The sequence below is a fragment of the Homo sapiens genome, chromosome 3 (assembly GCF_000001405.40).
Source record: "Homo sapiens chromosome 3, GRCh38.p14 Primary Assembly".
NCBI classification, from domain to species: domain Eukaryota; kingdom Metazoa; phylum Chordata; class Mammalia; order Primates; family Hominidae; genus Homo; species Homo sapiens.
Window position 1 is genome coordinate 70,735,953 of NC_000003.12, and position 18,953 is coordinate 70,754,905.

The following is an 18,953-nucleotide window of genomic DNA, read 5'->3' on the forward strand; positions in this document are numbered from 1 at the left end:
TGCCTCTCTGGGACATAATGTCCTTGGCCTTCAGATGAAAGGATTGTACCATAAGGTCAAGGTGTCTTTAGGTCCCAAAATACTTCATTTTAATATATTTTTCATTTATTCAACATTTGAATGCCTAAGCATGTCTGTAGACAGTGGGAATACAGACATGAAGAAAGGTACTGTCTGATGAGTCAGACAGAAATATTTTTAAATTCCTATTTAGTTGGTAGGACTCAAATGAGGCAACACTCACTAAACTTGTCGGTTTGTTTGTCATGAAAAATACTTACATAAGGTATATATCCTCTAGCCTATTCTTTCTGTGCCCTCTAAGGAAAGAGGTTGAGAATTGGCAGGCCTGGGGCTGAATGCTTGTGTATCTGAGAAGCAGGACTGGCATATGGGCCCACAAAAAGTAACAGCTACTCTGCACCAGTTTCACAACCTAGGAATAATTATGTTTCTCAGGCAAAGTGTTCTGTGTAGTTAAATCATTTGAGCAGTATATTAAAACCCTATTTTTTTAAAGCAATCAAAGATATATAATACAGTCCAACATATGCATGGAATGTTAAGGTAAGAGATGCTGCTTTGCTGAGACTCTTCTGTAGCTTTGACAGGAGGCCTTGGCCCTCATGCCCTCTCCTCCATGACATGGGGTCTCTTTGGTGGTAGAGAATGGGGAATACTGATTAGTAATCTATTCCGTGCCCACCCCACCCTAGCACGCATGTGCACGTGCACACACACATGCGCACACACACACACATTTCGGTCTCTTCACTTCTCTGCACCTAATGCTCAGAGCAGCATCTCTACAGTAGGAACTCAATTATATGCTGAATGGATAAATACATACAGACCCTTGTGCTTATAAAGTAATGAGTGGTCTCATTTGTTTCTAAACAGTAGATACACAAGAAATGTTTGAGTTAAAACAATGCTTTTAATGATGCCATTAAAATATACATAAACATATTGATATGGAGGCCTCTTCCGTGGCAAATACTATAATATCCCTTGAACGAGACCCTCTGAAGGAAGATACCAGAAATATTTCTTATTTTATTTTTCTATTTATTGAAGTTGTGAAGGGAGAAAAGAATTAAAGTTGAATATTATATTCTCTTTAAATTTTAATACACACTGCATAAAACCAACCAGCTTCTGTGGAAGGATAAATCCTGTATTGTTAGACTGGTTGTGACGGTGACTGCAGGGGAGAGACAGGCCAGGGGAGGAGCCATTCATTCTACTTTAGGGTTGACAATTGTCAATGTCTAGGCCAAATCCAGCCTGGAGATATGTTTTATTTGGTCAACAATATATTTGGGTTTTAAAGTAGTTGCTACTATTTAAAAATGGGAAGATTTCTCAAAATACACTTTTCTGGCTTAAAGCCTAAAGAACAGGTAACAATGAATCCACATTCTTGTTGGGCCTGAATAGTGGCTGCCTCAGTGAGACAGGGCACCTACTCTCCTTGCCACAGCCCCAAAGAACTCTGCCCTAGGTTAATATCGAATTTCTTTAGGCATTTGAGTTTTCAAATCTGTCTTAGATGACCCTGTACCATTTGAACTTTTTTATTATCGATAAGAAAGTGGCATCTATTTTTGCAATTCATATCACTGAAGTGTGTTTAAGGCACAGAAAATTGAAGAATTATTTTCAAGCAAGTGACAAAGCAATTTGTGCAGTATAATTCAACTTTTCAAATATATATGAATATATATACATTTAATGTTTGTATACATGTGAAGCATATTTTACATTTTACATATATATATAAATGTGAAATGAAACCTTCAAATATGTATGTAAATATAGAAAAAAGACTGGAAGGATATATTCCAGAATATTAACAGTAGTCATAGTGATTCTCCACATGATGACATCTCAGAGGGCTTTTATTTTGAATTTTGGTTTTTTTCCATTTCCTATTTTTGCTTTTCTGTCTTTTCTACATTTCACACAATGAACAATGAATTGTTATCTTCTTGATAGGAAGGAGATTTTTTTAGATGGAGTTCAGCATGTGTGTGGTTCTCATTAGTTTCTGCATTTTTCTGGCTCCTTTGTAAGGAGTCTCTGCCCTGCATCTCATTGTAAGATCTGCCATTCGTGTTTACCTGCCAGCAGCACCCAGCTCTGTGTTTGTTTTTCTCCTCTGTGTACATACTGGTCTTTCCACTGCTCACATCCTGAGGTGGTTCACGTTGGAGTGACTGACAGTGAATCAAAATTAAAAACACCAGTTGGCATTAAAGGTCACTGCTTTATTAGAATTATTCATTCAAATACAATTAACTTACCCCTGCTCTGGGGAAAAAGGAAGAGTTTACTCCAGGGAGAAGGAAGGATCTAAAGGGTTCTCCATTTATAGCTTTTCTCCCATTCGAATTTTTTTTTCCCAACAACTTTATTGACATGACAGACAGCTTGAAACAAAGAAAGGGCAAAGAGTGGGAAGGTGTTTCCTTTGATACACACGAGGCAAGGCTAACTTCCTTATTTTGAACGCAGAATAAGGTTTGAGACAAGTGAGTTCTTAGAAAATCTTGTTCACACAGTGATCCACATAACACAGAACACTGAAGTTTTGTCGACCTTTTTTATCCTAGTAGGATGAAGCACACTGAAGGACCATGACTCACCCACCACTCAGGCAGCCCTGGTCAGCACCTAGGAAAGGTGGCTCTATCATTTTTGCATCATGGCTACTTTTGAAATTCTGATAGTGCTACAGGAATGTATACCATATGTACCTAAACCATTACAAACAAATTAGTGAGGCCTCTATTAGCATCCTCTCTAGAATTAAGAAATCCTGTCCTAGAGTAAGAACTCCTATCCTTATGATTCATTCATTCGTGTTCAGCTTTGGAGTCAAGACAACCTGGGCTTCAAATTCTGACATGGCCCTGGGCAAATTACTTAATCCCTCTAAGGCTATAGCCTTATCTCTGCATGAGGATAAAAATAGTACCTATTCAATGATTGTTTCAGGGATTAAATTAGAATCTGTAATGTTCTTCATTGCATACTTCAAATAAATGGAAGTATTGATAAATATTACTGTAATTATTCATTACCTGTGTCCTGACAGTTGTGCTAAGAGTTAGAAAGAAAATGTTATTTTAAAAAGTATGAGCCATGCCTTCAGGAAGCTTACGGTCTTCTCAAAGGATACCCCCAAAGAAGTAATGTAAGACGGCATGAAATCAATAGAAGGATAAAGTAGGCTATTGGTAGTCTGGGACTGGAGGTGGGTGAGAATGGGGAGTGACTGAATGGGCATAAGGGATCTTTTTTGGTGTGATGGAAATGTTCTAAAATTGGATTGAGATGATGACTGAACCATGCTGTAAATTTACTACAAATCATTGAACCATATATTTTAAATTGGTAGATTTTATGATATGATAGAAATCATACTTCAAAGCTATTGAAAGCACAGAACAGCATAATAGTTGTGTATGTAGATTTATACTTAGGGCAGTGGTTGGACAGAGGAAAGAATGACCTCCTAGTACAGAGGAGGGGGTGTGAAGCTGAGTCCCAAAAGGTAAGTAGCATTTGGCAGGGTGCATGGTGACATTCCAAGCAGAGAAAGTAACTATCAAGTCCCTCAGGCAAGTAGGATCAAAGTAATTTGTTGAATCAAAATAAATGTATTGACTATCCTTACATCCAAAATATCACTTCCTCCTTATACAATGCAGAATGCCTGATTTGTTACTATCCTCTCTTTCCAACCCCATCACAAGGTCTCCTTGACCCTAGAGAAAGTAAGGTAGACCTAAATTTGTAGATGTACCCACCTTCCTTTCAAGAAAAATAATAATTATTATTTTAAAAAAACATCATTGCCATGTATCTCTAAAGTCTGGTAGTCCAATTGTTATGACAGGCAATTTTAAATGTAAAAACTGCGATTTTAAATTGAATTTAATTTGAGGATGAGGAAACACATGAGAGTAGTGATTGTAGTGTTGTTTTCCATGTCCCACATAAGCAATTTTAGGAAAAAAAAAATAAGCCAAAAACATGGTCCTAGTACCCACTTCTCAGGGCCCCTTAGGATTTTCTCTGTGTGTACATGTGGAATAGAGAAAAGGCAGTGTAGCTTCATTTCTCAAAATGCTGAGTTCTCAAACTCACTTAGAGATAGTCTTGATGAATGGTAATTTTAGCTCATGAAAACCAGGGTTTAGCTAGGCCCTTAATGTCTTAGTAGGTTACAAGTAATTGTATCCTGCAAAAAAAAGAAATGAGTTTTGAATTTGCATGTCATTTGTACAAAAGAATCAAAGTATCAACCCAAGAATGCCTTGGGCTATATCCGTCAATCATTGACTAGAAAGCCAAGTGGCTGCAGATAATCACTCAGTATGTAAAGGGAAGAACCAGGGTTAGAACCCACTTTTGTGCCTCCCAGTCAGGGCCTCTCAGCACTGCACTGGAAGACCCATTAATGCCACAACATACAAACACTCCCAGGCCACCAGAGGTAATGAAAGACAGTCTTTAAACAGAATGGAAGGAGTTGCTATTGGTACCTGATCAAAGAAAGTGAAGTTTGGAAAACAGGTGAGGCATGTGTCTGAAACAGGACTGGTGCACCACCTCCACAAAGCCCAAGGTTTGTATGTTAGGTTGTGGATGTGTTTCAGAAGCTCTGTTCTCATGTTATCATTCCTGGGTATGTAATTTCATTCTTGAGACCAAAAGATTCCAAAGAGATGCAATCTCAGAGCTAAATGCATCCTTCATATTCCCGAAGACTCATAAAATGAAAGCTCATGATTGGTTGTACACTTGGCTTGAAATTAACGCTTAATTATGCTCACCTCATAGTCTTTGGAAGTTTTGGGTTTCTTTTAAGCTTTTCCTATTTCTGGTCCCAGGAACATAGCAAAGTTTGCCAGAGAAATAGACTTCCTATATGATTACAAATAATCAGAAAGCAGTGTGTGTTTTACTTTCCCTTAGAAAGAAACACTGCAGTCAGGTCAAGAATGGTGTCAAATAAACAACTTTACCGTTTTGAATTTTTTAAAAGCTGAGGCTCCAGATAAAACAACTGCCTCTTGCACACAATATTCCCTGTGATCATATGTCATGATTGATGACAAGTCAAAACACACTTTGTTTACTCAGCTTTAATGTGAATGTGGTGGTCAGGATCTTGTATGGTTCCGAATGTTATTAGATAAATAACGTCCATAAACGTGGTAAAGGTAGAGTTTTGTTTCCCAAACAATGGAATGTTTCCTTTCCACACTTTTTGGGGTCCATTTTTAAAAAGGAAATTCACAACCACTTTGTCTACTCAAAATGCTCGACTTTCTTCATTGAAGGCTTCTCAAAGTCATTACTAATCTATACTTGATTCATTTTATGTGGTCTAGGGAAGGGTTTCTCAACCTCAGCACTACTGACATTTGGGCTGGCTGGGTAGTTCTTTCTTCTGAAGGGCTGTCCTGTGCACTGTAGGTTGTTCAGCAGCATCCCTGGCCTCTACCTACCTTTTTTTTTTTTTTTTTTTTTTTTTTTGTGAGTTGGAATCTTGCTCTGTCATCCAGGCTGGAATGCAGTGGCGCCATCTCAGCTTACTGCAACCTCCGCCTCTCGGGTTCAAGCGATTCTCCTATCTCAGCCTTCCGAGTAGCTGGGACTACAGGCGCATGCCAACATGCCTAACTTTTGTATTTTTAGTAGAGATGGGGTTTCACCATATTGGCCAGGCTGGTCTCAAACTCCTCACCTCGTGATCTGCCCACCTCAGCCTCCCAAAGTGCTGGGATTACAGATGTGAGCCCCTGCACCCGGCCATCTACCTACTATTAATAGATGCCAGTAAAACCCCCTAAGGCATGACAACCAAAAATGTCTTCAGAGATTTCCAAATATCCCCTGGGAAGCAAAGTCACCCAGGAGCTGTGAACCGCTGGTCTAGTTTTTTGAATATGGCATGAAGGTAAAGTATTCAGGGCCAACTAAATTTTATTAGATAAATAAGATTATTCACTACAATAGCATCATATAAAAGATTAATTATAACAAGAACTTAAATATCTTGAACAATACTGATTGTTTTAAACAAGTGAAATTGAATTACGTGGCCATTAAAAAAAAGAGGCAATCCTTAGTATTCCCATCAGTCTTGAGTGAGCAATATGGCATTTTCCAAGTAAAAATCCAGAATTTCTTTTTTCTTTCTTTCTCTGCATATTCCTATGGCATGCTGAAAGGAACAATCGCCTTCCATTTTTTTTTCCAGGAAATACTGCACCAACTCCATGGGAAAACACAAGTGAGTTTTTGTTTTTTTTTTCTTGCTGACTAAAACATTCCCCTGAGAAATTTCAGTCTTTTTTTTATACCACTATAGTTTATCCTTGGCCTTTCCGCAAACATATTTTAAGAAATTCTTTGCATATTCGTCTTCACTGGCGCTTCTGGTGTTATAATGAGGCATTTGTTATAAACATTAGTGACCATAATCAGATTTTAGTTTGAAATCTTATATCGGCAAACTTATGTAGGAAAGAGTAGAAGTGCAGACAACATTACTGAAGAAACAGTTAATACAATTTAAATAAAAAGGTTTATGGCTAATTTCAACTCATTTAGTGAATTGTAATCATATGATTACCTATAGAACCTCCATAGTATGATATTTGAAAGATCAAAGTTAGTGAAAAGTCAGCATGTAATTAGTTTCTTGCTTTGGAGCATTAGGTAGAATTACTGCAAAGAGGCAAAACTATCATTTTATAGAGACCCTTAGGAGATTTATAACGATGGTAGACAAATATATGCATACAATATCAGATGGTGTGCTAAAATTTAATTTTCATGAGAAAATGTGGTTGAAGATGATCACAATACGTGGGGATGTTCTTATTTTAATATTGGTGGATGTTATTAGAGAATCATATCAAAAGATATGTCACCAGGGAGAAAATATCATTTATAAATCACTAATGAGTAGCAAACAGTGTTTAGCTTGGAGGTATAAGGCATCTCTTCACAATGTGCATTTATGATCAAACACAAAAGATCAAGTGCAGAAAGAATAGTAGATCTATATTTTATCTCATTCTGCTAAGGAATATTTTTCTATACTTAGAGTTTCAGTGCCTACACTGTGTTTCCTGTTCATCAGAGAAGACTCTGCAATTAGAAAAGGATTTTTATGATGTCTAATTTGGAACTTAGCTAGTAAGATAATACATGACTGTACAGATTATGTATTGTATAGATTTTATTTATGTCTTTAGAGTAAGACATAGTTGTGCAGTCAGTTTATCCAGGAGAAAACGCCAGGAAATCTCATGGCTGACAACAGACATCCTCTGGGGACATTTTGAGATTTCTTGCCTTTAAATATAAGGTAAATTCAAATGGTTCTCAAGCTGTAGAGTGTAGTTCTTTGGGCCTTTAATCATCCATCTTTTCACTGTGTTAGGGTCCATCTAAAATCATTTCCTAAGAAAAATCCTAGGCATGGTCCCAGGTAAATGCAGGACTCTGAATACCTCTGAGCAGCAGGTGAATCATCTTCAGGAAAATTATGAGACCTTCTTAAGTACCCTATTCTTTAATGAGATGATATCAACCCATTTTTCCTCAGCTTAACAAACTCTTAAAATGTATGTCTCCAAACCTACCTAGAAACCTAGATGAACCACCGTCCGGGCCAACAGTTACCTTGAACCATTTTTTAATGATGCATATGTGGTTCATCCATTTTTCTGGAATACCTCATATTTGCCTCTGATCATTGGAAAGCTATGACCCTAAATCACATTGCTCTTGGGTACAATGCCATCTTACTGTACTGAAGACAGGGACAAGCTAGAGCCTTGAGAAATGTTTTGTTACGCCTGTTACATAGACCTTGTTGTTCATGTTACTAAGCACCTTCTTTATGAAAACACTTGGAGGCTTTTCTTTCTTGTCTTAGTATCAAGAACATTGCCCCTGCTAAAGAGCTGATTTGTGTTTATCTCATGGAGAATGTCATGTTCTGCTATTGATGTTAACTGCCAAGAATTTTATAATCAGATTTGTCATCCACATTGTGAAAGAATGTACATTTGTGGGTGTGGTGGCATGCACCTGTAATCCCAGCTACTCAGGAGGCTGAGGTAGGAGAATTGCTTGAACCTGGGAGGCAGAGGTTGCAGTGAGCCGAGATCGCACCACTGTACTCCAGTCCAGGCAACAGAGTGAGACTCTCTCTCTCAAAAAAAAAAAAATTAATTAATTAAAAAAAGAAAGTCAGAGGGCACGTGCTCTATATTGCAGGTGTTGGGTTGTGATCAAGAAGCTTCATGCATAGGCAATCCCCAAATTAAACATCATAAAAATCCTTTTCTAAGGGTGGACATTCGTGATGATGAACATTTGTAGTTCAACTCTACTTCTCCATTTCATCTAATGTCACTGCCCATATTGTTTCTTTTTCTCATCTTTCATATTTCTATCTTCTCTTACTGTATAGTATGGCTTTGTAAGTCATTTAAAATCTTTCTGGTAACGAAACAGAGACAATAAATAAAATGACTATAGTCTACAGAACTTACAGTCTAGTTATTTCACATTAATAAGTTGGCAGGTCTTCAGGGAAATCAGATAGGCAGATTCTCATATTTTCTATGTGTTTTTTCCCATGAAATTCTTGGGATTCCTTCAGAAGGTACTGCACCACTAGTTCAGGCGACTGTTGACTATGCTAGGCTGTCTCAATAGAAAAAGGATAAAGGAGAACTGGAAATATTAAGAAGGTAAGAATTCAAAGAGCAGACCAGGATATTCATAGGAATGTCATGGAAGCCTGCAGGCACGGAGATAAGAGATAAGAATATACAATATCAGCAGTGTAGAAATTTCAGATGGAGGAAGCGGTACAGAGCAGTATCTTATTTATTACCAGCCAGATTCTGTTTTGTTGCTGTGGAGAATCACCAGACATCCTTAAATTAATACCTGCTGCTAGTCACTCTGGGAGATCTTAGAGTTGCCTATGCATGAAGCTTCTTTATCACAACCCAACACCTGCTATATAGAGCATGTGCCCTCTGACTTTTTTTTTTCTTTTTCAGAGGGAGTCTCACTCTGTCGCCCAGGCTGGAGTGCCGTGGTGTGATCTCAGCTCACTGCAACTTCCACCTCCCAAGTTCGAGCGACTCTCCCGCCTCAGCCTCCTGAGTACCTGGGATTACAGGCACATGCCACCACGCCCAGCTAATTTTTTTTTTTTTTTTTTTTGGTAGAGACGGGGTTTCACCATGTTGGCCAGGCCAGCCTCGAACTCCTGACCTCAAGTGTTTTTCCCACCTCGTCCCCCCAAAATACTGTGATTACAGGCATGAGCCACCGCACCCAGCTGCCCTCCGATATTTGAATTAGGTTCACAAAACCCCTTGTTAGTTTGGTTGGCCCACAACACATTCTTGCATATGGTTTTTTCCCCTCAAATAGTACTTGCTTTTGTTCTATTTCCATTTAAAGTTCTCTGACATAAGGTTGATTATTTCTCTGGGCTTCCCCTAAAGTTCTGCTAAAATAAATTCCATTTACTCCATATCACTATATTTGAAGTCAGAAAGCATGTCAAAAACTTTGTTAAACTTAGCAAAAATTATTATATATTCTCTCAGCTTTCTAATTTGAAAAAGACAAAAGTGATTCGCTACAATAGATTGACCCAAATATAATAGGCAGGGTTGGATATTGTCTCAAATGTCCTTGTAAAAGAATGAGAAGTTCTTTATTGGAGTTGTTTAGGAAAAAGGCAAGTGATGGGTGAAAAGGTGTTCTGATGGAATTGTCTGTACTTTTAGAGCCAAGGTAAGTAGTATGTTTAGTAAAACAATGAATATTTTTAGGGTAAACAAGTTTTAATGTAATCATTTAAAAATTTCCCAACTGTTGGAAAATTAATCTGTGCTCTTAGAGGTCAGAATAGAAGTTCCCTTGAGGTTGGGGGTGGATAGTGAATAGAGCTGGAAGGGGGATTCTGGGATCATGAGAATGTTCTGTTTCTTAATCTGGGTACTGATTTAAGGATGTGTTAAGTTTGCAAATTTGTTGTACTTTTGTGTATGTACAAAGGAGTTTTACAAAGTTCCTGTTGGAAAGCCAGGAGAAATAGACAATCTTGTGATTGCTGGTGAGATTGTCCATTCAAATAACCCCTATGGAAGCAATCTGGCAATATCTATCAAAATTATAAATGCATGTATCCTTTGATCTAAATAATTTTCCTTTTTGGACTTTGTCCTAGTTGCACACATGGAAAATGATATGTAAATAAGAATCATTGCAGTTATTGTCTGTGATAGCAAAAAAAGAAAAAGAAACAACCTAAATGGCCATTAGTAGGACCAGTTAAATTAAAAAGGGAGCTGGGCATGGTGGTGCACACCTGTAGTCACAGCTACTCAGGTAGCTGAGAGTAGGAGCTTGAGCCCAGGAGTTCAAATCCAGCCTTGGCCACATAGCAAGACCCCTGTCTCATAAAATAATGATACAGCTATGTAATGAGCTGTTATATCAATGTTTAAAATTTTTAAGGTTAAATAAGAAACTTCTCAAGAACTGACTAGAAAAATCCCAAGGCATGTTGAATGAACTAAAAAAAAAAATGTTTAAGCAAGAGAGAATTAGAACATGTGTTTTTAAAGGAAGGGAATTATGTATTTATATTTACGTATATTCAAGGGCACACAAGCAAATGAGGTGACCTTATTAGTAACCTATCTTTTTTGTTATTTTTGAACCACTACATAAATTTCCTTTTCAAAATAATTTAATTAAAAATAATGATAATGTTAAAAAAAATAGACTGACTCCAAATGTGGTGAAATTGATATTGCAAGGTTTTTATTGCTACTCAATATGGAAAAAAATTGCAAACTATCTTTTTTTTTTTTTTTGGAGATGGAATCTCACTCCGTAGCCCAGGCTGGAGTGCAAATGGCCTGATCTCGGCTCACTGCAACCTCTGCCTCCCAGGTTCAAGTGATTCTCCTGCCTCAGCTTCCTGAGTAGCTGGGATTACAGCCACCCACCACTGCACCCAGTTAATTTTTGTATTTTTATTAGAGACGGGGTTTTGCCATGTTGGCCACGCTGGTTTCGAACTCCTGACCATGGGTGATCCACCTGCCTTGGCCTCCCAAGCCACTAACTTTTTAAAAGTTATTACCCACAGCTTAACCTTCACTGAAGTGAGCCATGAGTCAAAAGCCCTTGGAATCCCACCAGCCTCTTTCCATATTATCTAGATTCTGTTTCAGAAACCCAGGAAGGGGAGAGATGCTGGTTTCTTATTACAAAGGGTTCATCTTCCATGCCACGAGAATATGCTTGAGTTCTGAGTTCCCTGCTCTGGGTTCTCCCTTCTTTTCTCTTTGGCTCACTCTGGCCTTGGATGTATGAATGAGAAGCTGATACTATAAAATATCTTTATTCCTGCTTATATAATGACATAACTCCTTTTCACACTGTCATGTTAGTGGTGGAACAGACCCACGAAGAGATGATGGTAAGCATAGAGCCCATTTTCCTCAAACCTGGAGAAGATTGAGGCTCTGATAACTTTCCCAAGGTCACACAATTGCAATGGCACCCAGAACATGAATCCAGGTTTCATGACTCAAAGTAGATCATTGTATGTGCAGCAATCCTAGTTCCCTTAGATGAAAACTGGATTTGCTAGAGGTACACCTTTATGCGCTAACTATGGAAACCTTTTCAATACCATTCTTACTCGTGATGATATAATTGTGAATATCTTAATCGGAATTCTGTTCTCTCTTGAGTCAGCGGCCTACCAGAAGTTTCATGGATTTGTGCCATTATAAATTCCTGGAGGCAAGCTAAAGAAGTGCAAATGGAATTCTGAGCCAACTGATGGAGGCTATGTATAAAATTGAGAAGAGGGAAGGAGAATGAGGTCAATCTCAGAAGGAAAGTGAGTTGTACATAGTACATGAAGACCTGATATTTTTGCGATACCTTAGAAAACTGTAATTTTGGGCACACTGTGATAAATAGTCTTCATCTCTCATGACAACGTTGATTGCATCATTCTTGTAGCTGAAGGTCATTGTTAAGGGTTTTGAGTTTGCATCTAGCTACAGGTGGAAAGAGTACCATGATAGATAATGATGTCTGTCACGTGCATAGTCTCAGGGTGTGGCTGAGACCAGCTGCATCAGAATCTACCTTTATTTCGCCAACTTTCAGCATGTATTATTTCTCAAGCACTGATGACATAATTACATTTAAGATACCTTACTATCTTGCAGGGAGGGCAGACACTCAAAAAAAAAATCTAAGAAATTCCAATTAGATCCTAAGTTAGATCTTCTGCAACTTATATATGATTTTTCACTTTTTCTTTGAAATTAAAAGAGCAAGTCACTGCCATCATCAGTTCAATCAAACTATTTCAATCCAACCTATTTACTGAAGACAATTCAGGAGCTTGGCATGCCAAGCAAGCCGATCCACCAGTTGTTTCAAAGTCTACGTAGACTCTTTTTTGGAATGAAACGTATTCCCCTCCTTTGTCTCCAATGTCTCCCTCTTCCTCTTGTTTCCCCACCATGCAAATCTCAGACTCTGTATCACAGAGCTAAGTTTTATCAGAAACTCCACATTTAAGGATTGCGGCATGTGGTTCCCTAAAATAGAAAGCTTTGTGACCTTTTTCAAAATCCTCCCCATTCCATATATCCTTCCCAGATACACAGCCCATTCTTTCTGTGGAAGGGAACACTGTAAAGAATGCACAGCCAGCAAGAGGCTTTGGAGCCCAGCAGGGTCCTGGTGGAGGCATGCATATACATGGAATCAGGGGCGAACCGGATGGACCGTCTCTCCCAGTGAGTGAAAGTCTTAAACCGAGATTAACCTTGAAGCTCAAATTAGATAAAAACAAATAGAAATTTCTCCACAGGAATAAGAGCTTAATATAAAGGAAAAGTATTGGTAGCCCACATAACTTTAATTAAGATGAAAGGGTTTCCGAGTATCTGCTTCCTCGACAATCTTATGTTTAAAGATGTGTGTTGAGCTCAGCATGAAGGAACTAGTCTATGCAGCTCATTATTCACGTTTACAAGGGCCTACTTTGGGAGCTTTTTGTAAAGCTCTGACGTTCACTTCCAATTTTCTCTCCAAGCATGCCTTTCTCTAGGCCTTTGTTACAGTCTTGAGGAATCTGTCGACCTCTTTATCACAAGGTGGGCACACCTTACAGCTGAGACACCCCCTTCCAGTTGAAGGAAGACATCAACAGAAACAGAGACACCAACTTTTCCCCAGTGGCTGCAGCCACGTGTCAGAGAGCAGTGGTGGCCAGCTGGTTGTGCAATTTCTCACACAGAATTCATTGAGACAAGTTTTAAGACAAGTTATTATTTTTTTTTGATAGGGAAAATCGAGTAGGCAGAAGCTGCACAAGGAATAAAACAGACACATAAACACACTGAAAGACAAGAAAAACCCACTGAAGTTGTTAAAAGACTGAAATTTTTCTCTGTTTGTCTTAGAGATACAGTTCTGATGCTTGAGGTAAGCATCCTTCCATTTTCTTGTGTGCTTTTAAACCCTGGTTAGATATCAGTATTTTTCAGGAAACTTTGTTGGGAACAGATGCTCAACGGGTATCTCTGGAGCATTAAGAATAGCAGTTAAGTGCACGGATGTCAGCATCCCAGATGTGCAGGGAGTTGGTCCCACAAGTTGCTGACGGTGTGATGGTGCGTTCTCTTGACCTCCATTTCTAATCTGTAAACTGGAGAATTATAGTAGCACTTAGTCATTCTGGGAGGACTAAATTAGGTAATACTGTACCTATAAAACCCATATGTGCCTGACTCATAATAAGCATTTAAATAAATGCTAGCTACTTCATTATATCATTAAAGAGAACAGATGTCCACAAAACACATATACATGAAATATTTTCTGATGGTTTCAGTTCACTCATACTAGGTAGGATCTTAGGTAAACTATTTAATGTCCCAATGCCTCAGTTTATAATCTGTAAAATGGGGATGATATTTACCTGCCTTAGGAGTTGTTGGGAAGATGAAGAGAGACAATATAGAGAGAAACTATCTAGTATAATGCCTTGCAATAAGAAGATTTTAATGAACGTGAGACATTAACAGTTACTACTTAAAGTCTGTCTAGCATGTTTTAGATAAGTGCTGTCCTTGGGAATCCAGGATGTGAGTGATAACTCTGTGTTATTGCCTCATGGATTCAGCTAAAGTGGATCTACAAAATGTAGGGAATGTACTCTATGCAGAATAAAAGATCAAAAACCATAATATTTGCCCAACTGATCTTTTGTTATTAAAAAAGTGGGAGGTCTATATCCAAATTTTAAAAGCTTGAAAAATAATACATACCACCTCCTCCAATCCCACTGAGCCTTTAGTCCTTTGAGGATTCACAATGGCAGTTTTTGTTTTTGTTTTAAGCAAAGATAGTTCATAGTAAAGAAGCATGTGGAACTTGATTTCTACCTAGGTTTTCTAGTCTTAACCATGAACCCATTTTCCCCACAGTACTTACTACTCATGGTGACTGGTTGAAACATACCCTAGTAGAAGAATATAATCAGAATATTATAAGAATATAATCAGAAATAAAATGCTCTAATGAATTAAAATCAGATGATCATTTCTGAACCTGGAGAAGCAGCAATTTCTCACAACTTTTTGTGAATTAATATCCTGCAGAATTACTCCTCAAAGCACTGGTTGTATAAAACAAATTGACACTCAAACATATCTTGCTTGCATCAGCAAGGATAAAAAATACTCATCAATTTAGCAGAAACCTAAGATGACTGAGTGATCCAATCTAGAGGACCCCTCCCTAAGGCAGAATAGCAAACTCAGATTCCTAGAGGGGCCAGGTAACACTAAGAGTCAAAACTGCTGGATAATTTCATAGCAAACATGTCAGAACAGTCCCTATTTCCTTTTTTAAAAAATGTCTCCCATTTTCTTAAAGCACCGAGTCTTCTGTTTTCCTACTTTTGAGCAGGAGATTTCTGATCTTGGCTGCATCCAATTCTCCATCAGCCAGGAAAGACGTTGGTGTTAAGGTTGACATACCTGTCAAGGACGATAACTACCATGGCTTCCAGTGCTTTAACAAAACCTCAGATGCATGGACTTTGGGCCAAGCATCTGCGATTTCATATTATTGGAGTATTTGTTGTATCCCTGGGGGTTGTAGCTCTCTTTAAGTTTGCTGTGGCTGAACCAAGAAAGAAGGCATACACAGATTTCTGCAGAAATTATGATTCCATGAAAGATTTTGAGGAGATGAGGAAGGCTGGTATCTTTCAGAGGACAAAGTGATTTGGGAATATAAAGAAAGTCTTTGGGTTGAGTTACATAGAATTTTGTCACTGACCTGTGTTCCTGAACTATGAAACATGACTATGTAAACTAAGAAATTGTTTCTCTTGATTAAAAAAAAAGAGAGATTTCCAATCTTAGGAAAGATTGCACAATTGCAATGATAAATTGCAACTGATACTTCTTTACACTGCAGGAAGACAGTAAGAAGGGGCAGGGACAGTAGTAAACTGGAGAGAAATATTCCATCTAACTGGGGATACAGCCTCTTAAAGCTAGCTAGCTAATTGATACCCAAGACTGTGTGCCCAGTATTGCCAGAATTTGAATGTTTAGAGCAAATCTGATATTAAACATTTTAGTCTGAAACTTCCCTGCTTTTACACATTTTCTGAAATTGTTCAATATGCACCCACAATTAGCGTGTCCAGGTAGCTGGTTTATAATCATTTCCCATGGGTATGGGAGAGTTGGAGAATGTTCTGACGGAATTTCAAGGTACCAGATATACATAAGAAACGATGTCCATCATGAATCCGGGTAGATTTCATCATTTGAGTCTCTTCAAATCCAGATCAGTATCCCTAAACGTGTTCTGCATTTTCACGATATATTCAAGGAAGAAGGAATTGCAGGTCTGATTTGTGGCAGGATGTATTAAAGTGCTAGAGTCCCTTGAGAGTATTAGAGCCCTTGGGAGTGACTAGCTTATTCACGCATACCAATAATATATACTTAGGGCCTCCTTATGCCAAGCACCATTCTAGAATCTGGGCATACGTCAGGCAACAAGACAAATCAGTCTCTTTTTTTTCCACAGGACTTGGGCCCTAGTAGCCAGTCCACAGACAAGTGACTCCTTCATTTGTAAAAACAGGAGAGTCATCATAATTAGCATGGGTGGGAAGACAGTAATATGTCTTATGTGATGCATACTATAAGGAAATACAAGGCAGGGTAGCGGGGTGGGAAGTGACAGGACTAGAGAGAAAGTGGAATAAAGAATAGCTAAGTCTCTCTGGCGGAGGGGAAAAGGAAAAGCGCCAAAACTCTACTGAGACACAGAAAACACAGTATGACCAGGTCAAATGGGAACCTAACACGTACCAAATCCTTTCCATGTGCCAAACACTGTGCTGTAAGCTTTGCTTGGATGAATCCATTTCATCTGCACAGCCACCCTAGGAGATCAGTTCTTTGATCATCCCCTTTTAACAGATGTATTAGTCTGTTCTCACACTGCTATAAAGAACTACCTGAGACTGGATAATTTTTGAAGAAAAGAGGTTTAATTGACTCACAGTTTCACAGGCTATATAGGAAGTATGACTGGGAAGCCTCAGTAAACTTACAATCATGGCGGAAGGTGAAGGGGAAGCAAGTACGTCTTGCCATGGTGGAGCAGGAGAGAAATAAAGTGAAGCACACACTTTCGGACAACCAGATCTCATGAGAACTCACAGTCACCAGTACAGCCAGGGGGAAGTCTGCCCCCATGATTCAATCACCTCTACCAGGTCCCTCTCCTGACATGTAAGGATTACACTTTGAGATGAGATTTGGGTAGGGACACAACAAAACCACATCAACAGATGAGGAAATAGAGGGCCGAAGAGGCTGAGTCCTTGCCCTCTGTCACAGAGCTCCTGAGGAATGCCACTGGGGTCTACTCAGGCAGCCTGAACCAGTCTTTGGTTCTGAACTCCATCTAGTTTTCCATTTGCTTACTGGGGTGTAGTGGAGTGGGTCAGGGCTTGCTTTAGAAGAGGAAGAGGCAGTCAAGAAAACCTGTGACATTACTTGACTACTCTAGCCTTGACTCTGAGCTCTCACCCAGACCCTTCCTCATCAGCATACATACACAGAAGAAAAATGAGAAAATGCATTTTGCTTTCAAAAGGGAATGTAGTATCATAAATACAAAATACAAATGAAGAATAAAAGTTTCTAGTTATTTCTTTGGGAGGCTGAGGCGGGCGGATCACGAGGTCAGGAGATCAAGACCACCCTGGCTAACACGGTGAAAAACCCGTCTCTACTAAAAATACAAAAAATTACCCGGGCATAGTGGCAGGCGGCTGTAGTCCCAGCTACTTGAGAGGTTGAGGCAGGAGAATGGCGTGAACCCGGGAGGCAGAGCTTTCAGTGAGACAAGATCACGCCACTGAACTCCAGCCTGGGTGACACAGCGAGACTCCGTCTCAAAAAAAAAAAAAAAAAAAAAAAAAAGTTTCTAGTTATTTCCATTATATGACATTTTGGGCTTGATTTTTTTTTCAATTTATTCCATACCCATTAAAATCCTACTCCAATTCCTTCTATTGTTAATGAGCAAATAAAGGAATTTGCTGTTGTCATGTACTAAGCTTTTACTTCGTACACTTGGGACAGACAGATTGGAGAGAGTGAGGAGGCTCCCTCTAGCTTCCATTAGAGATGGCGCTGAGGCAAGTGAGCTGGACAGGCACTGGGTTCCTGTGTGCCTCACTGAGGAAAAATAAACATGGGCAAAGGAGATCCTATGACACCAAGAGGTGAATGTCATTATACGTGTTCTTTGTGTAAACTTGTCAAAAGGAGCTCAAGAAGCAGCACCCAGGTGCTTCAGCCAACTCCTCCTTACAGTTTTCTAAGATACACTCAGAGAGGTGGAAGACCATGTCTGCTAAGGTGAAAGGAAAATTTGAAGACACAGCAAAGGCAGACGAGGCCCATTATTTAATTAAAAAGAAAACAACTATATTTCTTCTAAAGGAGAAACAAAAAAGTTCAAGGATTCCAATGCACCCCAGAAGCCTCCTTTGGCCTTTTTCTCCTTCTGTTCTGAGTATTGCCCCAAAAGCAAAGGAGAACATCCCAGCCTATCCATTGGTGATGCTGCAAGGAAACTGATAGAGATGTAGAGTAACACTGCTGCAGATGGCAAGCAACCTCATGAAAAGGTGCAGCTAGGCATTGTGGCACATGCCTGTAATGGTGCACTTTGGGAGGCTGTGGCAGGGGGACTGCTAAGGCTAGGAGTTCAAGACCATCCTGGACAATATAACAAGACCCCATCTCTATGAAAAAAAAATTTAATGAAAATAAAGGCTGCCAAGCTGAAGGAAAAATAAGAAAAGGATATTGCTACATACCAAGCTAAAGGAAAGCCTGATGCAACAAAAAATTGACTCATCAAGGCAGAGAAAAGCAAGAAAAAGAAGAGGAAGATGAAGATGATGAATAAGTTGGCCCTAGCAGTTTTTTTCCTTGTCTATAAAGCATTGTACCTCCCTACACACTACTCATTCTTTTTAAAGGAAAACATTAAAATAAAAGGCTGTGTAAGGTTTGTTTTTAAATTGCAAAGTGTCTTTTGTAGAGGTGGCACACTAGGAAATGTGTCTTTAGATAGCCCCAGTGCCAGTGGCATTTTCAGTAGCCACTAACCTTGCCTGGTGTAGTATGGGGTTGCAAATTGGCAAGGAAGACTAAAACAGGTTCTCGTTGGTGCACAGCACAAATTTGTTATATACGGGGATGACAGTTTTTTCATCTTCAATTGTCTCTGATGCA

At 39.0% G+C, this 18,953-nt stretch overlaps 2 pseudogenes, besides 1 other annotated feature; both read left to right on the forward strand.

Moving 5' to 3' along the window:
* Positions 2,006-2,300: a silencer, noted in NCBI's record as "tiled region #3883; HepG2 Repressive DNase matched - State 24:Quies, and K562 Repressive non-DNase unmatched - State 24:Quies". NCBI's record gives its function as "represses a minimal TATA promoter and a strong SV40 promoter by Sharpr-MPRA in HepG2 and K562 cells {active_cell/tissue: HepG2 | K562}" and the evidence as "EXISTENCE:reporter gene assay evidence [ECO:0000049][PMID:27701403]".
* On the forward strand, positions 15,106-15,571 carry COX6CP6 (cytochrome c oxidase subunit 6C pseudogene 6; annotated as a pseudogene).
* On the forward strand, positions 17,902-18,621 carry HMGB1P36 (high mobility group box 1 pseudogene 36; annotated as a pseudogene).